This window comes from Homo sapiens, chromosome 19 (assembly GCF_000001405.40).
Source record: "Homo sapiens chromosome 19, GRCh38.p14 Primary Assembly".
NCBI classification, from domain to species: domain Eukaryota; kingdom Metazoa; phylum Chordata; class Mammalia; order Primates; family Hominidae; genus Homo; species Homo sapiens.
This window is the reverse complement of record NC_000019.10, coordinates 55,327,820-55,348,747: the sequence shown is the minus strand read 5'-3', so window position 1 is coordinate 55,348,747 and position 20,928 is coordinate 55,327,820. Positions and strand designations below refer to the sequence as shown.

Here is a 20,928-nt window from a genome sequence, read left to right as displayed (position 1 = left end):
GGATCAGGGATTGCTCACAGTCAGCCGCTGTTATTTCCTTTTGCAAAACGAGACAGCAGGCAGAGCTAAGACGCCCTGGCAAAATCCAGATCCTGGAGCGGACCTGAAGAAACAAGATTCATCTTCCTGGTCTCACACACGGCAAAGCCCAAGATGCCACAGCTGAGGAAGGTCCTGTCAGCGCCGCCTCCCCCAGGCTCGGCTCTGGTGTCCTGGGCAGCCCCCACACCCTCACTCAGCCAGGCCCCCAGCAGTCTCTCTCCGTTTGGAGTGAGATGTGGGAGGGGCATCTCATTGAGAAGCGCGAGAAGGGAGAAGGGCCCTCAAGTCCCCACGTGGCCTTGGCAAGTCACTCTGCTTGCTAAACGATGTTGACCTCGCCTGGAAAATGGGAGGACCCACTCCTAGGAGAGTATGGGTCTCAAGGCATTTTTACAAGCACAGCCTGAGTGGGGATGGGGCTCCAGCCTCAGTCCCCTAGTCCATCACGCTCCCAAATCCCTCTCCCGACAGCTCTCAGGGCTGAAGGCCTGTGTTGCCTCCTCCCCCTCTCATCAGCACAGCTGAGGGTCTCACCCTCCTCACATCCCTTCAAAACATAAGCCAAAACAAAAAACCGCCAAGGGTGCTGCTTATAACAAGGTTTTAATAAAATAAAAAGTTCAAGTGCTTCCAAGCCCCCAACATACCCCTTTCTGGTGTGGGGGAGGGGAGGGAGCTCCCCACCCCAATAGCACCAGGATAGCACCATGAGAAAGATGAGGTCACACCCGGCCTCCCTGAGACCCACGGGGGGTGGTGAGGGGAACATGCCTCCAGACACCCCCCAACCTTCCCCCCACCGCAGACAGCTGCAGAGCTGAGAGCGAACCCAGTCCCCTCGTGAGGGCAGTCTCTGGGGAGTGCCACCCCCTACATCAGTTCCACCTCCTCCTGAGGCCTGTACTTCTGGGGAGATGCCGTGGGGTGGCCCCTGCCCCTTATGGCTTTGCTCCCTGGGGAGGAAGGGGCTGAGGGGGGCGGATGGCTCCTGCAGTCCTGAGGCTGGGGCAGGGGTGGGGAGGGCAGCAAATGGCCGGGGCTCCCTGTGGGAGTGGGGGTGGCTCAGGGGTCAGCAGTCACAAAGGGTCAGGGCTCAGATCCCTGGGGGTGTCCAAACCAACCCCATTCCAGGGTCAGAGCTATGCTGGAGTCAAGGGTCAGCTCCCTCCCAGAGGTCCAAGGGCTCCTTCTGGAGGTCCTGGGTAGCAGCTAGGAGAGAGACCCTCTCTCCCTGCTGGGCCTCCCCGTCCGGCCTGTCACAGCTCTTCACCGCCGACATCCAGGTCGATGGAGCCGTGGCTGACCACCAGCCGTAGGCGCTTGGGTGGGGAGAAGGGGGCGAAGGCGAGGGCCTGCTTCGGGATCAGGATGGGGCCTGGGGTCCCAGCAGGGGCTGGGGTAGCTGGTGGGGCTGGGGCCAGGCGACGAAGGTCCACACGCACCACGTAAGGCAGCCCATAGCGCCGGGCCCAGTGCCAGTCCTGCTGAGGGGCCCAGCGGGCGTGGGGGGGCTGGCCCAGGGCCACCAGGGCCTCTCCTCGCAGGCGGCAGTGGGGGCCACAGCCTCCCCATCGGTGCAGGGAGACGCGGGCAGCGTGGTGGGTGGAGAGCACTGGGGCCCTCCGGGGCCGGGGGCGTCGGCGCTTCCGGGGCCGCACTCGGGGCTGGGGCTGAGGCAGCCACTGGAGCCAGAGGGGTGAGGTGTCTGGGCGGGCGCTGCAGGCTGGCAGGCGCAGGGGCTGGCAGGCGGCTGTGAAGGCCCAGGTGGCAGGGAGAGGAGGAACAAAGGAGAGGTGAAGTCAGTGCAAGCTGGGCCGGTCCTCCTCTGGACAAGGAGGCAGCCCTGCCCTGCGCTCCCCAGAGGAATGATGCGGCCGAACTGCTCAACAGCGAGGCCTGCCAGCGACTGAGGGTGGGAGGGAGGGTTCCAGGCTAGGCAGAGAGCTCAGAAGAAAGGAGACAGATGACCAGGAGCAGACAGGGGAGGGGCTGCTGGGATGGCAGGGAGGGGTGCTCACCGCAGAATGGGTCCCGGCGCAGCGGGGATGGGTGCACGCAGGCCCGAGGGCCCAGCAGGCCCTGTCGGCTGCCACTGTCCAGGCCTTGCTGCAGCCGCCGCTTGGTCTCACGCAGCTGGTACTTGTCCAGGGGCCGTGGTGGCAACGCGGGCTCCCTAGGCCTGGTTCGGAAAGCTCCTTCACCTTTCCTGGGAGACCGGGTGAAGGGGAGATGAGGCCGGGTGGAAGGGAGATGAGAGGCTGGGGTTGGACACACTCAGGGATGGGTCCCGAGGGTGCGTTTCTGGGCTCAAGAAGCCCAGACGACCCGAACCCAGCCGCCTCTCGCCCGGTCCCACCTCTCACAGGTGTGGCATTCACAGTGCTCATTCTTCTCGCCGAAGAAGCCCTCGCCGTAGAAGCATGTCACCTCGTCCCCAGGCTCAATGTCCCGGAGCACCTTCACGCAGGCTGCGTTCCCATCTGCAGGCACAAACTGAGGGCCAAGCCCACTCAGCGCCCTGGCCCAGGGCACAGGGGAGGGCTCACCCACTCCCCACACCTGGCCGGGCACCCTGGCCCGGAGCGTCCTCTCCTGGAATGGGGCAACAGCTGAGCCCCTAAAAGTGGCATTCCGAGGCGGCTGCCTTGCCGAGGGCCTGTCCTTTGCCTGTAGCCCCTGGACAATCCACCCACTGGCTGGTTTCCACCCCTCCCTGCAGGACGATGATCTAACCTGACCTTCTGGCAGCGTGCAGTGCCAGCAGTGGTGACCACTCCCTCCAGCCTCTGTGGCCCCGTGCCAAGCCCCACCTCCTCTGCCACACCCAAGCCCATCCCCTCCTGAGCTGCCTGCCCCCCGCCAGACTGTGCCTTGGCAGCTGAGGTCCGAGCTCTGCCTGCTGCGGGCCGCCCCCGCTTCTCTGAGGCCTGCCTCACTCCACAGCCCAATCTGTGTGTGCTCTGGCCCTGCCTTTGGGATCATTCACCCAGGAGCTGCCCCACAGGCTCCTCCTAAGCCCCACACAGCTGCGCCTTCCTCCCTGTTCCCCGTCTAGGAGGGGGCATGACCACTGTCCACCCAACTGTCCATCTACCCATCCACTCAAGCCTGACATTTGCCTGGGAGTAGCCCTCGCCACCTGCCTGCCTGACGGCCCCCAGACCAACCGGCCACTGCCTTCTGAGTGTGCCACCTCCCGCATCCTCATCCTCCTCGCCTCCCCGAGACCCCTACTGGAGTCAGCCCCTCATCACCTCTTTGTGGCCACCCTGCCTACAGCCTCTCCCCTTCCTGCCAAGCCTCCTGCACATGGGCCTCCAGGGTGACCTAAAAACCAAGCTTCCCATTATACACCCTGGGGGGAGCTTCCATGGCTCCCTGGCCCGGACCCCAAGGCCTTGCTGCCGGATCAAAGCCGTCGCTGGGCACCCCCAGCCCTCTGGTGTGCCGTGTCCTGCTAGACGCCCCCCTTTGCCCCTGATTTCCTTTAACACCTAGGGAAATTCTACTCCTCCGTCGATGCCCAGCATGGCTTCTGTGAAGCCAGATGGTTCTAGATCGCTGGAGAGCTGGCCGCCCTCTCGTGTGCTCAAGGTGGCTGGAGCACACTGGCCCTGCAGAGCCTCTCCGAATGCCGCCTTTTGTTTCCATCCCCCCCAGCGTCTGTGTGTGGTGTCAGACCAGGGCCACGCATTCGCTGTCCAAAACCCTCCGGCACACTTGACCAGCCCGCAGAGTTCCAGAGATCCTCACCAACCCCATCTGAGATGAAAAACCAAAGGCCAGGGGTGGCATCGCCAGGACCCCAACTCAGTTCTGACTCTGGAGCCAAAAATCTGGATCCCTTTGTCATGCCTCCCGGGGTGCCCCATCGAGGTCTGTGCTCCAGAGGGTGCACCCTCAATGCCGCCCTGGAGCCAACCCTCCTGATTCCTTCTGCTTCCGGGCTACAGGACAACCAGCGGCCTCTCCTGGGCATGTCTGGACAGCATCCTGAGTCCTGGCCCCTGGGGCTCTCTGGCCTCCCTGCTCCTGCCACCACAGCTGCCTGCGTTGTTCCCTGCAAGGCCGGGGGCTCCCACCACAGGGCCCTGCCTCCCTGCCACACTCCCTGCCCAAATTGGCACAGCTCCCAGCTCGGTTTTCAGAGAAGAAAGATGGCCAGCAGCTGGCAACCAGGGTTCCAGTGCAACTGCACAAACAGCCGGGCAACGCTGGCCAAACTGGAACCCCTTCCTCCTTTCTGGTAGCCTTGTGAGCAAATACCCACTCTGCCCCTTCCAGGACCCGTGGGAAGCCATGGAGACATGGGGCAGCATTTGGCTCTTTTTTTTTTTTTTTTTTGAGACAGAGTCTCGCTCTGTGGCCCAGGCTGGAGTGCAGTGGCGCGATCTCGGCTCACCGCAAGCTCCGCCTCCCGGGTTCACACCATTCTCCTGCCTCAGCCTCCCAAGTAGCTGAGACTACAGGCGCCCGCCACCACGCCCGACTAATTTTTTGTGTTTTTAGTAGAGATGGGGTTTCACCGTGGTCTCCATCTCCTGACCTCGTGATCTGCCCACCTCGGCCTCCCAAAGTGCTGGGATTACAGGCATGAGCCACCGCGCCCGGCCGGTGTTTGGCTCTTTACTGACCAAAAACCCTTTCCCCAGGCCACAGGCACCCTTTCTTCCTGCGTGCCCTCTCCTCCCGAGTCCCAAGGCCTTACCTTGCAGTTGGGTTTGCAGTCTGGAGCCAGTTGGGGCAGGAGAGAGAAGAGAGGTAGATGAGCTCGGCAGCTCAGTCGCAGAACCCTCCCACTACACCCCTCCAGCCCTGCCTGGCTCTATCCCGTCCTGCCCATCCACCTGCCTGACCCTCACCATGGTTGATGAAGGCGGCTGGGCCCAGCCACAGCTGAGCACTCCGCTTGCGGGTTGAGTACATGATGCTGAAGTCATTCTCACCGGCCCTCAGCAGCCCCTCATCTGCCTCCCGCAGCTCTGCAATGCAGCCCACCAGCAGCTCCAGCTTCTCATTCTTTTTCCTGCCAAGAGGCCAGGGGGCAGGGCTGTGGGCGATGCCTGGCCTCCTGCAGGTGTTCAGGGGACTCGGGCCTCCGGCACAGAGGCACCCAGGAAGGAGGGACTCCTGGGCGCTGGTGCTGGCTATTGGCGATCCATCTTCCAGATCTCCCTCTTCCCCTCCTGCCTGGGTGGGCTTCCCTGCTCCAGCCCACAGCCCCACAGGACCCTTCTACTGAAAGCCTTCAGGGCAGCACGCACACAGCAGATACAGCCCCCATTCTCTCCCCTCGCTCTCATAGCACCTCCTGCCCCCAAATCCCTCCTGCCTGGACTACCCCCTACTCGCCCCACCAGACCCTCAGGCGGGTGCTTCCCCTGTCAGTGTGAGCCTCGCCCTGGGAGCACTTGCTCATTCCTCACAGCTCCCCTGCAGCATGTACCAGCTGGGACCAGTGACTGCATGTTGACTTGTCTGCCCCCCACCTCCTCACCAGACTGTGAACCCCGCAGGGGCAGGGGCAGGGGCTCCTCATTGCACTCAGGGGTGTTTAACATGTGGTGGGGGCTCAGGTCACAAGGAGGTAAGGACAGCACGGCCCTGACCAGAAGCCTAGTTCTTTCCTGGAAGCCCCAGGAACCCTGGGGTCACATCCGGGGTCTCCTGCTCCAGCGGCACCACGGTAGCCACAAAGGTCTTCCGGGATTAGCCCCACCACCTTCCTAGGATGCCCGGAGGACCAGGCCCCTCGCTTTTCCCCGGTTGGCCAGTCCATGAACAGAGGGTCTCTCTTGTCCCCTCTGAGCTCTGTCTCCTCCAAGGATACCTGCAGGGAGTCCTGCCCTCTTACCAAGCACGAGTGGACACGATCTTGGCCCCGTTGGTCTCCATGGAGTAGCGCGTGCAGGGCAGGATGGTAAAGCCACTTTCCGGCAGGAAGGCACGGAGGTAGCGATAGACCTGGTGAGGGTGAGGGTGGGGGTGAGGAGGCGGGGCAGGGGCATCTTTGGCCCTCTCTCTCCAGGACTCTAGGCCTGCCATGCCACTGACTCACTGTGTGGTCTTGGGGGCCTCATGTTCCCTCTCGGGGCCTCAGTTTCCTCATCCGTCAAATGAAGAGGTTGGACTACATCTCAGAGGGCCCCCCCAACTCTCCTCTCCTAGGATTCTCTGAGCCTTGCCTCAGATGGTCCCAAGGGCTAGGAAGTCAGGGGGCCCCAGGGGCTGCGCTGAGGGACTCTAGAGCGTCTGCCAGGCGGGACCAGGCCCGGTGAGCGGGGAGGACACGCGGTGAGGGCGGGGGAGGGGAGGGCGCCCTCACGTGGGTCTTGAGGGCAGCCTCCTGCCGCGGGCCCCGGCTCTGGAAGTAGCGGGCCGTCCAGCCTCCCAGCGTCAGGGCCCGGTACGCAGCCTCCAGGTCCCGCTGCCTCAGGAAAGTTTCCAGCGCTGAGCGCAGGTGCTGCTGTCGCCGCAGGGGGGGCACAGGGCTGGGGGAGAGGGCATGCCTGGGTCCCAGGGCCTTCCCGGGCCCCGGCCCCAACCCCCACTTGGAGCTGAGGGGAGGACCAGGCTAAGGAGAGGGCCGAGGGGCGGCAGCGGTGCAAGGGGAGGGGTCCTGACCCCTCGGGCCCACCCTCGCCCCCAGGCCACCTCACCTGACGTTCATCTTATGGGTGCGGAAACCGAGGTAGGGGTCCAGGACGAGGCTGGTGGCCAGGTCGTCGTTCTCGCACAGTTCTCGTGCTGTCACTCTGTCGGGCCCCATGGTGCCCTGCGGACCATGCTGCCTCTGGCAGAGAGCAGGAGCAGGTGAGGGCAAGGCAGGCGCGGGGAGCCTGGCTTGGTGCTGACTCCACTCCCACGCTACTCAGAAGCCATGGGGGACGCTGGTGAGCCCCACGATCTCATCTGCAAAATGGGGAGAAAAGCAGTGCTGACTTCACCAGGCCGCTGGCGAAGATGGAATGCAACAAGTACTTCTGAGAGTAGGGAAAGCCCAGAGCCATGTCAGCCATCGCCTTAGCTCTTGCTCTTGCTCCGCAGCGCAGACACAGATCCCCCCTAAACACACAACCCCCACATGCACACCCATGCACACTCAGACTGACACACGCAGATGCCCCTGCCCATATGTACAGAGACCCCCTACACACACACATCTCTTTGGGCCCAGAGAAGGCTGACTGATTGGCAGCCGGGATCACCCTAAAGGCTTAGCACCGTGGGGAGCCGCTTCACCTCTAGCCCTCAAGGAGGAAAAGTCAAAGCTTCCCGCCAGCCCGAGGTCCCGCCCTCCACCCCCACCTCGACCCAGCCTCGGTCTCCGCCCCCTGCCTCCCCGGCAGCCTTCGGGAGTGGTCAGGAGGCTCCGGGTGAAGCCCCAGGCAGCCTGGAGGCGGGTGACGGGAGGGAGGGCAGGGGAGGGATCCCAGCACCTGCTCCCTCTCCAAGGATTCCAGGGGAGGGGGGCTCAGAGGACAAAAGCGGGGGTGGGGAGGGGAGCAAAGGAAGACTATGGGGAGGCAGCACAGGTCAATATTTACAAAAACATTTTTTTAAAGCGGAGCCAGGAGAGAACGGAGAGATGAAGAAAACCACCCAAACCCCTAACCCGGACGGAGGGCCAGCCTCGTCCCCGCACCACGGCGCTCGAGGCTCATCCGCGCCCAGGAGAGGAGGAGATGGGGCAGGGCAAGGAGCGGGAGCTGCAGAGACGGCTGTGGAGGGGTCGGGGACAGACTGCGAGGCTGCGGGAGAGAAAGAGGGGGCGCTGCAGGAGGACGCCAGGGACAGCGGGGAAGCTGGAGAGGGGGCTGGGGGCAAGGAGAGAAACGCACAGCGGTGGGCACGGCAGGGGGCTGTGGGAGGGAGAAGGCTGCAGCCGGGCCTGGGGGCGCTCAGAGGGGTGTGAGGAAGGGATGGGGGTGCCAGGGAGGACAGAGAGCGGGGAATGGCCTAGGGACTCAGGGAGGAGCCAGACGGGAGACCTGGGTCGGGGGGCGGTCCAGGGATGGCGGAGAAGATCCTGGGTGTCCAGTGAGTGAAGGGCCTGAGAGGGCGGACAGGGGCCCAGGGATCCAAACGGGCTTGGTGGGGTCCTGGGGGATCCAGGAAAGGGAGACCCTAGGGAAGGGCCTGGGGACCCAGGGAGGCGCCTGGGTAGGCGGTGAGAGCCCAGGGCAAGGGACCTGGAGGGTCAGAGGCCGACCTCAGGGTCCAGGGAGTGCCAGGAGAGGGACAGAGGGGTCAGGGAGAGGTTCTAGGGCACAGAAAGACCTAGAGGGTCCAGAAGGAGGCCTGGAGGGTGAGAGGAGGTCGGGGATTGGCCCTGGGAGTGCAGGGAGGTCCCGGGGGTGAGAGAAGGGTCAGGGAGAGGCCCTGAGGGTGCAGGGAGAGACCTGGGGGTGCAGGGAGAGGCCTGGAGGGTGAGGTCAGGGAAAGGCCCTGGGGGGTGCAGGGAGAGGCCTGGAGAGTGACAAGAGGTCAGGGAGAGGCCCTGAGGATGCAGGGAGGGCCGTGGACGTAAGAAGGGGGTCAGGGCCCGGGTGAGGAAGCACAGGAAGGAGGCTGCAGTGCCGCGGAGCCCGAGGCCCGGCGAGGGGCCGGGAGACGTGGGCGCCTGGACACGAGGAGGGGCCGGGCGGGGTGGGGGGCAGTCGGGGCAGGGGGCGACTGGGGAGCCAAGGCGGCGCGGGGCTGGGGCCGTGAAGGGGCTCAGAGATCGGGCCCCGCGCCGCCCCTCACCCGCTTCTCCTCCTCCTCCTCAGGCGCCCGCGCCGCCGCCGCCAACACCTCCCACAGCCTCCTTCGGCTCTCGTCAAACACTGTCGCCGCACCTCCCATCTGCTCTCCGGGCCAGCCCCGCCAAGGCCACTGAGGCTTTCTATTGGCCACAGCCACCGCCACTCCTCCGTTGCTACGAAGCTCACGGCGCTCCCATTGGCCAAGCCCCACTCTTTCCCTCCGCGCCCGGCTCTCGTCAATACACAGATAAAACCCCGCCACGCCCCCGCCGCCGTCAAACGCCGCGAACTGTTGTCAGTGGTTCACATCGCTGTCCTTTAGTCGCTGCCATGGAGACTTGTCCCGCCTTCGCTCACACTGGGGCTCGAAATCGACGCACTCATTGGCCGAAAGCGCAGTCTCTCCGGGCGAAACTCGGTTTGGGTCGGGTTATTCAGGTCCAAGTGGAAAGAGGGCGGGCTCTGCCAGCTCCAGTAGTCGTATATGATTGCCTGGCCTTGGGACAGCTCCTCTTTCCATTGGGTAAGGCCTCCGTCCATCACCATAGAGTCGCGGCCTCCCTCTTCTATTTCTCCGAGGAAAGCTTCGGCCACAGGAGGGAGAAAGCCAGACCCGGCGGGAGGGAGGCGGTGAATGCGCGCGCACCGCCATCCCTCTCCCCTCCCGCCCCGCGAGGCCTGCGGTTACCAAGGCGACGAAACTTTATTGACAGCTCTGCCTGGCTACAAAGGGCTCCTCAGTCTCTCTCCCTCCCTCCCCGTTTACACCGTTGCGTTTTGGGAGTATCCACACGCACTCTGTGGGACCTTCCCGCGATATGAACGGGGTCGGATGGAGGGAGGGGAGGCTGAGGGAGGAGTGGGGACTTTTGAGACAAGCCCTGACTCCTGGGGCGCTCCCCTGGGGCACCCCCTAATTGGGATCACCCCCCCTACCTCAATCCTAGAGGCAAACGTAACTAACAATTCATCATAATTACGCCGAGAATAATAAGCTCCACACTCAGAACAGGCGGTCTTTGTTTGCTTGTTTGTTTGTTTCGCCACAGCCATTCTTCCCTTAACGACACTGATACCATCTGGGCAGTGCGTGCTCAGGCGATGTCGTCATCCTGCCAGCATCCTAGAGCAACATCACTCACACCTACGTGGCAGGGCTGCTGGCACCTGGGCTGTAAGGTGGCCGGCGGCTCCTGGGCCACACAGCTGTGCAGCATGTTACTGTCCGGTAACACAATGTAGGCGCTTGTGTGTCTACACATATAGGATCACTGTCAGACATGCGCTCCACTGTACAGCTATAGATCGTGGGCACTTAAAACAATGCATGCCACAGAGTAGGTGCTGTTTTGGTGTGCTGTTTTTGGTGTTTTGGTGTGTGTGTGTGTGTGTGTGTGTGTGTGTGTGAGAGAGAGAGAGAGAGAGAGAGAGAGAGAGAGAGAGAGAGAGAGAGAGAGACAGAGACAGAGTATCGCTCTCTCGCCCAGGCTAGAGTGCAGTGGAGTGATCTCGGCTCACTGCAGCCTCTGCTTCCCAGGTTCAAACGATTCTCCTGCCTCAGCCTCCCAAGTAGCTGGGATTACAGGCATGCACTACCACCCCTGGCTAATTTTTTTTTAGACAGAGTTCCCTCTTGTTGCCCAGGCTGGAGTGGAATGGTGCGATGTCGGCTCACTGCAACCTCCGCCGCCCAGGTTCAAGCGATTTTCCTGCTTCAGCCTCCCAAATAGTTGGGATTACAGGCATGCACTACCATGCCCGGCTAATTTTTTTTTTTTTTTTTTTTTTTAGTAGATACGGGGTTTCACCATGTTGGTCAGGCTGGTCTCGAACTCCTGACCTCAGGTGATCCACCCACCTCAGCCTCCCAAAGTGCTGGGATTACAGGCATGAGCCACCATGCCTGGCCTGTATTGTGTTTTGAGACAGGGTCTTCCTCTGTTGCCCAGGCTGGAGTGCAGTGGTGCAAGGATGGCTCACTGCAGCCTCGACCTCCTGGGTTCAAGCGATCCTACAGCCTCAGCCTCCTGAGTAGCTGGGACCACAGACGCATGCCACCATGCTCGGCTAATCCTTTAATTTTTGTAGAGACAGGGTCTCTCTAGGGGCTCATTCAAGTGATGCTCCCTTCTTTTTTTTTTTTTTTGAGAGAGGGTCTTGCTCTGTCGCCCAGGCTGGAGTACAGTGGTGCGATCTCGGCTCTCTGCCTCCCGAATTCAAGTGATTCTCCTGCCTCAGCCTCCTGAGTAGCTGGGATTACAGGTGCCCACCACCATGCCCAGCTAGTTTCTGTATTTTTAGTAGAGGTGGGGTTTCGCCATGCTGGCCAAGCTGGTCTTGAACTCCTGACCTCAGGTGATCCACCCACCTCAGCCTCCCAAAGTGCTGGGATTACAGGTGTGAGCCACCATGGCTGGCCTAGGCACTTTGTTAATATGTACTGAATGAATGTGTGAATGACCAACCAATAAGGATGAAGCTGACAGTCTCTGCATTGCTCTGTGACTTTGAGGAAGTGACTTGCCATCTCTGGGCTTTGGGTTCCCATCTATAAAACATAGACCATACACTTGTTTGGCTTCCAGCTTTCCACCCTTTGTTCATGCTATTTCTTCTCCAACAGGGACTATCCCCTAGCCCCATGCTTTACCTCCCTAATCTCTCATGAGCTCTGAAATACCCCCTAACTCAGGCAGGCACCACTACAGCTAAAGTCGACCAAACCTTTCTCGGGACCATCACTTTGACCAGGACCATGCCGGCAGAAGGGAACTGGGGCTGGGGACTTGCCATGGAGCAGCTAGAGGAGACAGAGGTGGACAGAGGTGGCCATACCAGAGCAAGGTGATGCCAACTGTAACTCCTGGTCATCAGTGGGGAGGGACAGGTGACCAGCTCCAGAAGAGAAAAGCAGCCTTACCCAGGGAGGGGGAAATGGCAAGCATAAAGGACTTCATGGAAACTCAGCTAACTGGAAAAGTTGTATCAGTCTGTATGAAGTACAGTCCTTCTACTAGTGGGTGGGTGTACACTCTAGAGAAACTCTCCGACTTGGAATAAAGAGATAAATGCAAGAATGCTCGCTATCGTGTTTGTAACGGTGAGGAACTGGAAACGGTTTCCATCACCAGAAGAATGGAAACATGGATCCTGGTATATTGATACAGGGGAACACCATATGTCAGTGAAAGTAGATGCACCAGTGTCCCATATATCACCCGGGACAACCCGTAGTTGCAGAAGTCTACAATGCCATTGACACGAAGTTTTGAAACACATACAATGGCTGGGCACAGCCGCTCACGCCTGTAATCCCAGCACTTTGGGAGGCCGAGGCCGGTGGATCACCTGAGGTCGGAAGTTCGAGACCAGCCTGGCCAACATGATGAAACCCCGTCTCTACTAAAAATACAAAAATTTACCCGCACATGGTGGCAGGCACCTGTAATCCCAGCTACTTAGGAGGCTGAGGCAGGAGAATTGCTTGAACCCAGGAGGCAGAGGTTGCAGTGAGCCGAGATTGCACCACTACACTCCAGCCTGGATGACAAGAGCGAAATTCCATCTCAAAAAACAAAGCAAAACAAAACAATGGTTGCATGTGGATACATGTGGCAAAAGGATACACACGTGAAGGGCATGACTAACACAGCATGGGGAGGGAAGCGGCCGCCCCTGAGGGTGGGGAGGGAAGAATGCAATCGGGAAAGCTACACGGGACATTGGTATTTGGAAATTTTGTTTAAGCCCTGTGGTGGAATCCATGAGTTCATTATATTTTTCTTTTTATCTCTATTTTTTTTAACTACACCTGTAACAAAACTGCATTTCTTTCTTTCTTTTCTTTCTTTCTTTCCCTTTCTTTCCTTCCTTCCTTCTTTCTTTTTCTTTTCTTTCTTTTTTTTATCTTGAGACAAAATCTCGCTCTGTTGCCCAGGCTGGAGTGCAGTGGTGCGATCTCAGCTCACTGCAAGCTCTGCCTCCCGGGTTCACGGCATTCTCCTGCCTCAGCCTCCCGAGTAGCTGGGACTACAGGTGCCCACCACCACGCCCAGCTAATTTTTTGTATTTTTAGTAGAAATGGGGTTTCACTCTGTTAGCCAGGATGGTCTCGATCTCCTGACCTTGTGATCCACCCACCTTGGCCTCCCAAAGTGCTGGGATTACAGGCGTGAGCCATCGTGCCCGGCCTCTTTTCTTTCTTTTTTAGTTATTTGATTTTCAATCCCACTGACATGAGTTCATCAGTTCATTATATTTACTGTCTGTTCCTTTTTTTTCTTTTTTTTTTCTTTTTGAGATGGAGCCTCGCTCTGTCGCCCGGGCTGGAGTGCAGTGGCACAATCTCCGCTCACTGCAAGCTCTGTCTCCCGGGTTCACGCCATTCTCCTGCCTCACCCTCCCGAGTAGCTGGGATTACAGGCTCCTGCCACCACGCCCGGCTAATTTTTTTGTATTTTTTTTTTTTTCAGTAGAGACGGGGTTTTACCACGTTGGCCAGGATGGTCTCGATCTCCTGACGTGGTGATCCGCCTGCCTCGGCCTCCCAAAGTGCTGGGATTACAGGTGTGAGCCACTGCAACCAGCCTACTGTCTGTTCTTTTCTGTTTTTGTTTGTTTGTTTGTTTGTTTTTGTTTTCTTAGAGACGGAGTCTCACTCTGTCGCCCAGACTAGAGTGCAGTGGCGTGATCTCGGCTCACTGCAACCTCCGCCTCCCGGGTTCAACCAATTCTCTGCCTCAGCCTCCCAAGTAGCAGGGATTATAGGTGCCCACCACCATGCCTGGCTCATTTTTTTGTATTTTTAGTAGAGATGGGGTTTCACCATCTTGGCCAGGCTGGTCTTGAACTCCTGACCTCATGATCTACCCGCCTCGGCCTCCCAAAGTGCTGGGATTACAGGCATGAGCCACCGCGCCTGGCTACTGTCTGTTCTTTTCTGTAAGTCAGAAATATTTCATAATACAAATAAAATTTTGACCCACCAATTCCACTTCCAGGGTTTTATTCTTTTTTTTTTTCTTGAGACAGAGTCTCATTCTGTTGTCCTGGTGAGCCAAGATGGCGCCATTGCACTCCAGCCTGGGCGACAACAAGCAAGACTCCATCTTTAAATAAATAAATAAATAAATAAAATAAAACCTTCAGACCTCCTGAGAACTCACTCATTATCATGAGAACAGCATGGGGGTTCACCATGATTCAATTTCCTCCACCTGGTCCCCCCTTTGACAAGTGGGGGTTATGGGGATTAAAATTCAAGGTGAGATTTGGGTAGGGACACAGAGCCAAATCATATCACTCAGCATTGTTGAAAAAACAGAAAAGTAGGTCGGGCGCGGTGGCTCACGCCTGTAATCCCAACGCTTTGGGAGGCCGAGGCGGGCAGATCACCTGAGGTCAGGAGTTCAAGACCAGCCTGGCCAACATGACGAAATGCTGTCTCTACTAAAAATACAAAAATTAGCCGGGCGTGGTCGTGGGCGCCTGTAATCCCACCTACTCAGGAGGCTGAGGCAGGAGAATCATTTGAACCCAGGAGGCGGAGTTTGCAGTGAGGCGAGATCACACCATTGCACTCCAGCCTGGGCGACAGAGCAAAATGTCGGAAAAAAAAACAAAAAACAGAAAAGAATGTCCAACAATAGGACATAGTTGGACGAATTCTAGCATCTCTCAATCTCTCACAACATGGAATAACATGAAAGCTGTTACTGAACTCTTACCACACAGCAGCCACTTTGCAAATAGCCCTGTGAGGGAGGGGCTGTTATAATGCTCATTTTACGGATAAGCAAAGTGAGGCTTACAGAGATGATGTAACCGGCCCAGAGTTAACATCCAAGTCATGGGACTCCAGAGTCTAGTGCACTTTGCACTCTCAAGCTCCCGGCCGCACTGCCCAGAAAGAAACCAGCTGCTGAAAGCTGGCGGGGTGGGTCTCAGACTTCAGGTGGCATAATAAAATAAGAAGGAATGACTCATGCTGGGACACCGATGGCCCGTGAAAACATCATGCTAGGTGAAGGGAGCCGGAGATGAAAGGCCACATTCGGTACGACGCCATTTCTATGAAATATCCAGAGTAGGTAAATCCATAGAGACACAAAGCAAATTCGCGGTTGCAGAGGCTGGGGCAAGTGACTGCTAACAGGTATGGGCTTTCCTTTTGGGATGATGAAGAAGTTCTGGAAGTAGATAGTGGTGATGGTTGTACCTAATACCACTGAACTGTACACTTTAAAACAGTTAAAATGGGGCCGGGCATGGTGGCTCATGCCGGTAATCCCAGCACTTTGGGAGGCTGAGGTGATTGGATCACCTGGGGTCAAGAGTTTGAGACCAGCCTGGCCAACGTGACAAAACCCTGTCTCTACTAAAAATACAAAAAATTAGGCAGGCACGGTGGCAGGCACCTGTAATCTCAGCTACTCGGGAGGCTGAGGCAAGAGAATCACTTGAACCCAAGAGGCGGAGGTTGCAGTGAGCCGAGATCGCACCATTGCACTCCAGCCTGGGTGACAGAAAGAGACTCCGCCTCAAAAAATAATAAAATGGTAAATAAAATAAAATAGTTAAAATGGTATATATATATTTAGAGACACATATAAGTGTCTCTCTGTCACCTAGGTGGAAGTGCAGTGGTGTGATCATAACTCACGGCATGGCCTCACGACATTGCTCACACACCTACCACCGAGTTTTGCACTTTAATTAAAATGAAAATTTTAACCAATTCATTAATTTTTGAGACAGCGTTTCACTCTGTCACCCGGGCTGGAGTGACACAATCATAGCTCACTGCAGCCTTGCTCTCCTGGGCTCAAGCAATTCTCCCACCTCAGCCTCCCAAGTAGCTGGGATTGCCGGCACATGCCACCACACCCGGCTAATTTTTAAATTTTTTGTGGAGATGGGATTTCCCTATTCTGCCCAGGCTGGTCCAGAACTCCTGGCTTCAAGCAATCCTCCAGTTTCAGCCTCCCACACACTGGGATTACAGATGTGAGCCACGGCATCTGGCTGTAAAATGGTGAATTTGATGTTTTTTGTGTTGAACTATACACACAGAAAGAAAAAAAGGTGGGGTGTGGGGAGTCAAAGTCACCTTGGGAATGTGATTAAAATACAGATTCCAAGGCTCAGCCTCAGCGGGAACCTGGTCAAATATTCAATAATTTTTGTTTGTTTGTTTTAAATAGGGTCTCACGCTGTCGCCCAGGCTCGAGTACAGTGGTGTGATCCTAGCTCACTGCAGCCTTGACCTCCTGAGCTCAAGCCATCCTCCTGCCTCAGCCTTCTGAGTGGCTGGGACCACAGACATGCACCACCACATTTGGCTTTCTTATTTTTTGTAGAGATTAGGTCTTGCCATGTTGCCCAGGCTGGTCTTGAACTCCTGGGCTCAAGCAATCCTACTGCCTCAGGCTCCCAAAGTGCTGGGATTACAGGCATGAGCTACTGTATCTGGCCCTATAAGTATACTTATTGTATACTATATATTAATTTATATACACACACGGACCTATATAGCTATATCTATATACATATATGATTGCATACACACACACACACCTCATCATTCTCCTACTCAAATTTTGCAATGAATTGATATTTTGTGGTAGCCAGCTCCCAAAACGGCCCTCAATGACCCCCCATTCTCCACTTCTTTTTTTTTTTTTTCTTGAGACAGTCTCGCTCTGTTGCCCAGGCTGGAGTGCAATGGTGCGATCTCAGCTCACTGCCACCTCTGCCTCCTGGGTTGAAAGGATTCTCCTCTCTTTCAGCCTCCTGAGTAGCTGGGATTACAGGCACGCGCCACCAAGCCCGGCTAATTCTTGAATTTTTGGTAAAGACAGGGTTTCACCATGTTGGTCAGGCTGGTCTCGAACTCCTGACCTTGTGATCCGCCCACCTCAGCCTCCCAAAGTGCTAGGATTACAGGCATGAGCCACCACGCCCGGCCCCCCATCCTCCACTTCTGGGATTCATATCCTTGTGTGGCTCTTTCCACCTCGAACAGTGCTGAGCTGTGTAACCAACAGGATATTGCAAAAATGATGGTGTGTCAAAAGTTAGATCCTAAAAAAACTCTGTGGCTTTCACTTTGCTCTCTCTGGGATGCCCATGTCAAGAGGACGTTGCAGGCCGGGCACGGTGGCTCACACCTGTAATCCTAACACTTTGGGAGGCTGAGGTGGGTGGATCACCTGAGGTCAGGAGTTCAAGACCAGCCTGGCCAACATGGCAAAACCCTGTCTCTACTAAAAGTACAAAAAAAAAAAAAAAATTGCCGGGCATGGTGGCGGGTGCCTGTAATCCCAGCTACTTGGGAGGATGAGCCAGGAGAATCATTGAACCCGGTGGGCGGAGGTTGCAGTGAGCCAAGATTGCGCCACTGCACTCCAGCCTGGGCCAAAGAGCGAAACCCTGTCTTTAAAAAAAAAAAAAAATATATATATATATATATATATATATATAGAGAGAGAGAGAGAGAGAGAGAGAGAGAGAGAGAGAGAGAGAGAGAGAGAGAGAGAGAGAGGACATTGGAGCTGCCCTGCGGAGAGGTCCATGTTTCGAGGAACTGAAGCCTCAAGCCAGCAGCCGGAGAGGAGCTGAGGCCTCCCGATAGCTCGTCAGCCACGTGCTTGGGCCACCCCGGCAATAATCCTCCGGTGTCCATCAAGTCTTCAGGTGGCTGTGCAGCCCTGGTCCATGTCTTACTGCAACCTTCCAAGCACCCCAAAACCAGAATCGCTCAGCTAAGCCGTTCCGAAATGTATGACCCATAAAAACCAGGTGAAGTAAATGTTTATCGTTTTCTGGAGTTGCTGTGCTGAATTAGCACACGCCTAGATTAAAATCTAACTTTCTAGGCCGGGCGTGGTGGCTCACGCCTGTAATCCCAGCACTCTGGGAGGCCAAGGCAGGCGGATCACAAGGTCAGGAGTTCGAAACCAGCCTGGCCAACATGGTGAAACCCCGTCTCTACTAAAAATACAAAAATTAGCCGGGTGTGGTGGCGGGCGCCTGTAATCCCAGCTAGTTGGGAGGCTAAGGCAGGAGAATCACTTGAACCCGGGAGGCAGAGGTTGCAGTAAGCGGAGAACGCACCACTGTGCTCCAGCCTGGATGACAGAGCCAGACTCCGTCTCAAAAAAAAAAATCTAACTTTCTTACAATGGCCCCCGGGCCCCGCCCAGTTTGTCCCCTCATTACCTCTCTCACCTTATTGGAACTATTCTTCCCACCACTCACCCTGGTAAGGTCCCACCATGCCTAGCTAATTTTTTGTATTTTAGTAGAGATGGAGTTTCACCATGTTGGCCAGGATGGTCTCAATCTTCTGACCTTGTGATCCACTCGCCTCGGCCTCCCAAAGTGCTGGGATTACAGGTGTGATCCACTGCACCCAGCCAGTAGCAGAGCTTTAAGTCAGCGCAAGTCGCTTCTGAGAATGGGGCCCCTGGTGGCTACACAGGTTACCTCCCCCTGGCTACCACTACATATCTCTTTATTTATTCGTTTATTGCTAGAACATAAGTGCCAGGAGGGCAGGACCCTTGTCCTGTTCAGAGTTGAGTCTCAATATCAAAAAGCAGTGCCTGGCATATCACTGGCATGAGATAAAGATTTGCTGAATGAGGCTGGGCGCGGTGGCTCACGCCTGTAATCCCAGCACTTTGGGAGGCTGAGGCGGGTGGATTACGAGGTCAGGAGTTCGAGACCAGCCTGGCCAAGATGGTGAAACCCTGTCTCTACTGAAAATACAAAAATTAGCCGGGTGTGATGGCGACGCCTGTAATCCCAGCTACTAGGGAGGCTGAGGCAGGAGAATCGCTTGAACCCAGGAGGCAGATGTTGCAGTGAGCCAAGATTGAGCCACTGCATTCTAGCCTGGGTGACAGAGCAAGACTCAGCCTCAAAAAAAAAAAAAAAAAAATTGCTGAATGAGTCAATGACTAACCACAACAATGCAAGAAGTCAGATCCTGAAGAAAAGAGGGAATATTAGGTCAAAAGAGGATTGTTATCCATTGAATGGGAGAAAATATTTGGAAATCATTATATCTGATAATGATCGCCTTATAATCCAGAATATATAAAGAATCCTTGGCCAGGCATGGTGGCTCACGTCTGCAATCCCAGCACTTTGGGAGGCCAAGGCAGGCGGATCACGCGGTCAGGAGATCGAAACCATCCTGGCTAACATGGTGAAACCCTGTCTCTACTAAACAACAACAACAAAAAATTAGCCGGGCATGGTGGCAGGCGCCTGTAGTCCCAGCTACTCGGGAGGCTGAGGCAGGACAATGGCATGAACCCAGGAGGCGGAGCTTGCAGTGAGCCGAGATCGCGCCACTGCACCCCAGCCTGGGCGACAGAGCAAGACTCCATCTAAAAAAAACACAAAGAATCCCTAAGCCGGGCACGGTGGCTCACACCTGTAATCCCAGCACTTTGGGAGGCTGAGGCGGGTGGATCACCTGGGGTTAGGAGTTCGAGATCAGCCTGGCCAACATGGTGAAACCCTGTCTCTACTAAAAATACAAAAAAAAAAAAAAAAATTAGCCTGGTATGGTGGCAGGCACCTGTAATCCCAGCTACTCCGGAGGCTGAGGCAGGAGAATCACTTGAACCTGGTAGGTGGAGATGGCAGTGAACCGAGATCATGCCACTGCACTCCAGCCTGTGTGACACAGTGAGACTCCACCTCAAAAAAAAAAAATTCTTATGACTCAATAATAAAAAGACAGACAACCGAATTTCAAAAATGAACAAAGATCTGACATTTCTCCAAAGAAATATGCAAATAGCCAATGAATGCATGGAAAAATGTCCAACGTCATTAGTCACTAGGGCAATACAAATTCAACCCACAAGGAGACACCACTTCACACCCTCCAGAATGATTACCATCAGAAAGACACATCAAATGGGGGACGGTGGCACAGGCCTGTAATTCCAGCTACCTGGGAGGCTGAGGCAGGAGGATCTCTTGAGGCCAGGAGGCTGAGGCAGGAGGATCTCTTGAGGCCAGGAGGCTGAGGCAGGAGGATCTCTTGAGGCCAGGAGGCTGAGGCAGGAGGATCTCTTGAGGCCAGGAGGCTGAGGCAGGAGGATCTCTTGAGGCCAGGAGGCTGAGGCATGAGGATCTCTCTCTCTTTTTTTTTTTTTTTGAGATGAAGTGTTGCTCTGTCACCCAGGCTGGAGTGCAATGGCGCAGTCTCGGCTCACTGCAACTTCCGCCTCACAGGTTCAAGCCATTCTCCTGCCTCAGCCTCCCGAGTAGCTCGGATTACAGGCGTGTGCCACCATGCCCAGCTAATTTTTCTTTTTTTTTAGTATAGACGGGGTTTCGCCATGTTGGTCAGGCTAGTCTCCAACTCCTGACCTCAAGTGATCCGCCTGCCTCAGCCTCCCAAAGTGCTGGGATTACAGGCATGACTCCTGGCCAGGCAAAGGGATCTCTTGAGGCCGGGAGTTCGAGGCTGTAGTGTGCTATGACACTACCTGTGAATAGCCACTGAACTCTGGCCTCAGCAACAAAGCCAGATCTCATCCCTAAAAAAGATTGTAATGTAATTTTAAAAAGACCGATAATAGCAGGCACTGTTGCCGGTGTGGAGAGATTGAAACCCTCATGCACTGCTGTCAGGAATGTAAAATGGTGTAAATCGTGTACACATGGCGGAAAGTAGTTTAGCAGTTCCTAAAAATGTTACTATACAACCCAGTAATTCTACTTCTAGGTAGAATGGTGGCAGGTGCCTGTAACCCCAGCTACTCGGGAGGCTGAGGCAGGAGAATTGCTAGAACCCGGGAGGCAGAGGTTGTAGTGAGCCGAGATCGCGCCACTGCACTCCAGCCTGGGCAACAAGAGCAAAAGTCCATCTCAAAAAAAAAAAAAAAAAAGAACATATGAGCAAATGGCTGGCCGGATAGGCAGGTGGGTGGATGAGTGGAGAAATAACTAGCTGGAGGAATGCACAAAGGCATGAACATATGCACAGATAAATGGATGTTTCAGGAGAAGGTTGGATGGGTGAAGATAAGGAGGGATATTCAAGGGCATTGCATGGCACATAGGAAGGAACCAAACTTTACAGCCAGACAGACCCAAGCTGCTCCACTCGGTA

The 20,928-nt window shown here is 56.1% G+C and overlaps 1 protein-coding gene across 5 annotated transcripts, besides 8 other annotated features; it reads right to left on the bottom strand.

Moving 5' to 3' along the window:
- Positions 1-626: 626 nt before the first annotated feature.
- KMT5C (lysine methyltransferase 5C) lies at positions 627-8,872 on the bottom strand. Of its 5 annotated transcripts, none has more exons than NM_001438948.1 (9): positions 8,034-8,872; positions 6,702-6,954; positions 6,368-6,533; positions 5,897-6,006; positions 4,905-5,068; positions 4,751-4,770; positions 2,399-2,535; positions 2,061-2,248; positions 627-1,792 (listed from the first exon to the last, which is right to left on the bottom strand). In NM_001438948.1, the coding sequence occupies exons 2-9, from the start codon at positions 6,809-6,811 to the stop codon at positions 1,299-1,301; spliced, it is 1,389 nt and encodes a 462-aa protein (NP_001425877.1). In that variant the 5' UTR covers positions 6,812-6,954; positions 8,034-8,872; the 3' UTR covers positions 627-1,298. The 5 variants fall into 5 exon arrangements, with proteins under 5 accessions (NP_001425877.1, NP_116090.2, NP_001425878.1 ...); NM_032701.4 differs by having other exon boundaries at positions 8,791-8,872; NM_001438949.1 differs by lacking the exon at positions 6,368-6,533 and having other exon boundaries at positions 8,791-8,872.
- Positions 1,417-2,111: an enhancer, noted in NCBI's record as "H3K27ac-H3K4me1 hESC enhancer chr19:55858005-55858699 (GRCh37/hg19 assembly coordinates)". NCBI's record gives its function as "activates a minimal SCP1, AML or CMV promoter by ChIP-STARR-seq in naive H9 embryonic stem cells {active_cell/tissue: H9 hESC(naive)}" and the evidence as "EXISTENCE:reporter gene assay evidence [ECO:0000049][PMID:30033119]".
- Positions 3,302-4,107: an enhancer, noted in NCBI's record as "H3K4me1 hESC enhancer chr19:55856009-55856814 (GRCh37/hg19 assembly coordinates)". NCBI's record gives its function as "activates a minimal SCP1, AML or CMV promoter by ChIP-STARR-seq in naive and primed H9 embryonic stem cells {active_cell/tissue: H9 hESC(naive and primed)}" and the evidence as "EXISTENCE:reporter gene assay evidence [ECO:0000049][PMID:30033119]".
- Positions 4,108-4,912: an enhancer, noted in NCBI's record as "H3K4me1 hESC enhancer chr19:55855204-55856008 (GRCh37/hg19 assembly coordinates)". NCBI's record gives its function as "activates a minimal SCP1, AML or CMV promoter by ChIP-STARR-seq in primed H9 embryonic stem cells {active_cell/tissue: H9 hESC(primed)}" and the evidence as "EXISTENCE:reporter gene assay evidence [ECO:0000049][PMID:30033119]".
- Positions 7,296-7,475: a silencer, noted in NCBI's record as "silent region_11023". NCBI's record gives its function as "represses an Ori minimal core promoter by ATAC-STARR-seq in GM12878 lymphoblastoid cells {active_cell/tissue: GM12878}" and the evidence as "EXISTENCE:reporter gene assay evidence [ECO:0000049][PMID:35858748]".
- Positions 8,721-8,780: a silencer, noted in NCBI's record as "silent region_11022". NCBI's record gives its function as "represses an Ori minimal core promoter by ATAC-STARR-seq in GM12878 lymphoblastoid cells {active_cell/tissue: GM12878}" and the evidence as "EXISTENCE:reporter gene assay evidence [ECO:0000049][PMID:35858748]".
- Positions 8,801-8,870: an enhancer, noted in NCBI's record as "active region_15090". NCBI's record gives its function as "activates an Ori minimal core promoter by ATAC-STARR-seq in GM12878 lymphoblastoid cells {active_cell/tissue: GM12878}" and the evidence as "EXISTENCE:reporter gene assay evidence [ECO:0000049][PMID:35858748]".
- Positions 9,180-9,953: an enhancer, noted in NCBI's record as "H3K27ac-H3K4me1 hESC enhancer chr19:55850163-55850936 (GRCh37/hg19 assembly coordinates)". NCBI's record gives its function as "activates a minimal SCP1, AML or CMV promoter by ChIP-STARR-seq in primed H9 embryonic stem cells {active_cell/tissue: H9 hESC(primed)}" and the evidence as "EXISTENCE:reporter gene assay evidence [ECO:0000049][PMID:30033119]".
- Positions 9,954-10,728: an enhancer, noted in NCBI's record as "H3K27ac-H3K4me1 hESC enhancer chr19:55849388-55850162 (GRCh37/hg19 assembly coordinates)". NCBI's record gives its function as "activates a minimal SCP1, AML or CMV promoter by ChIP-STARR-seq in primed H9 embryonic stem cells {active_cell/tissue: H9 hESC(primed)}" and the evidence as "EXISTENCE:reporter gene assay evidence [ECO:0000049][PMID:30033119]".

What these genes read in the sequence shown, in the direction of transcription:
- KMT5C (NM_001438948.1), bottom strand. Translation starts at nt 6,811, where the DNA reads ATGGGGCCCGACAGAGTGACAGCACGAGAACTGTGCGAGAACGACGAC. An exon ending in GAATGCCACACCTGTGAGAG is followed by an intron (nt 2,249 to 2,398) that starts GTGGGACCGGGC and finishes CCGGTCTCCCAG; the next exon opens with GAAAGGTGAAGGAGCTTTCC. An exon ending in GCGCCGGGACCCATTCTGCG is followed by an intron (nt 1,793 to 2,060) that starts GTGAGCACCCCT and finishes GGGCCTTCACAG; the next exon opens with CCGCCTGCCAGCCCCTGCGC.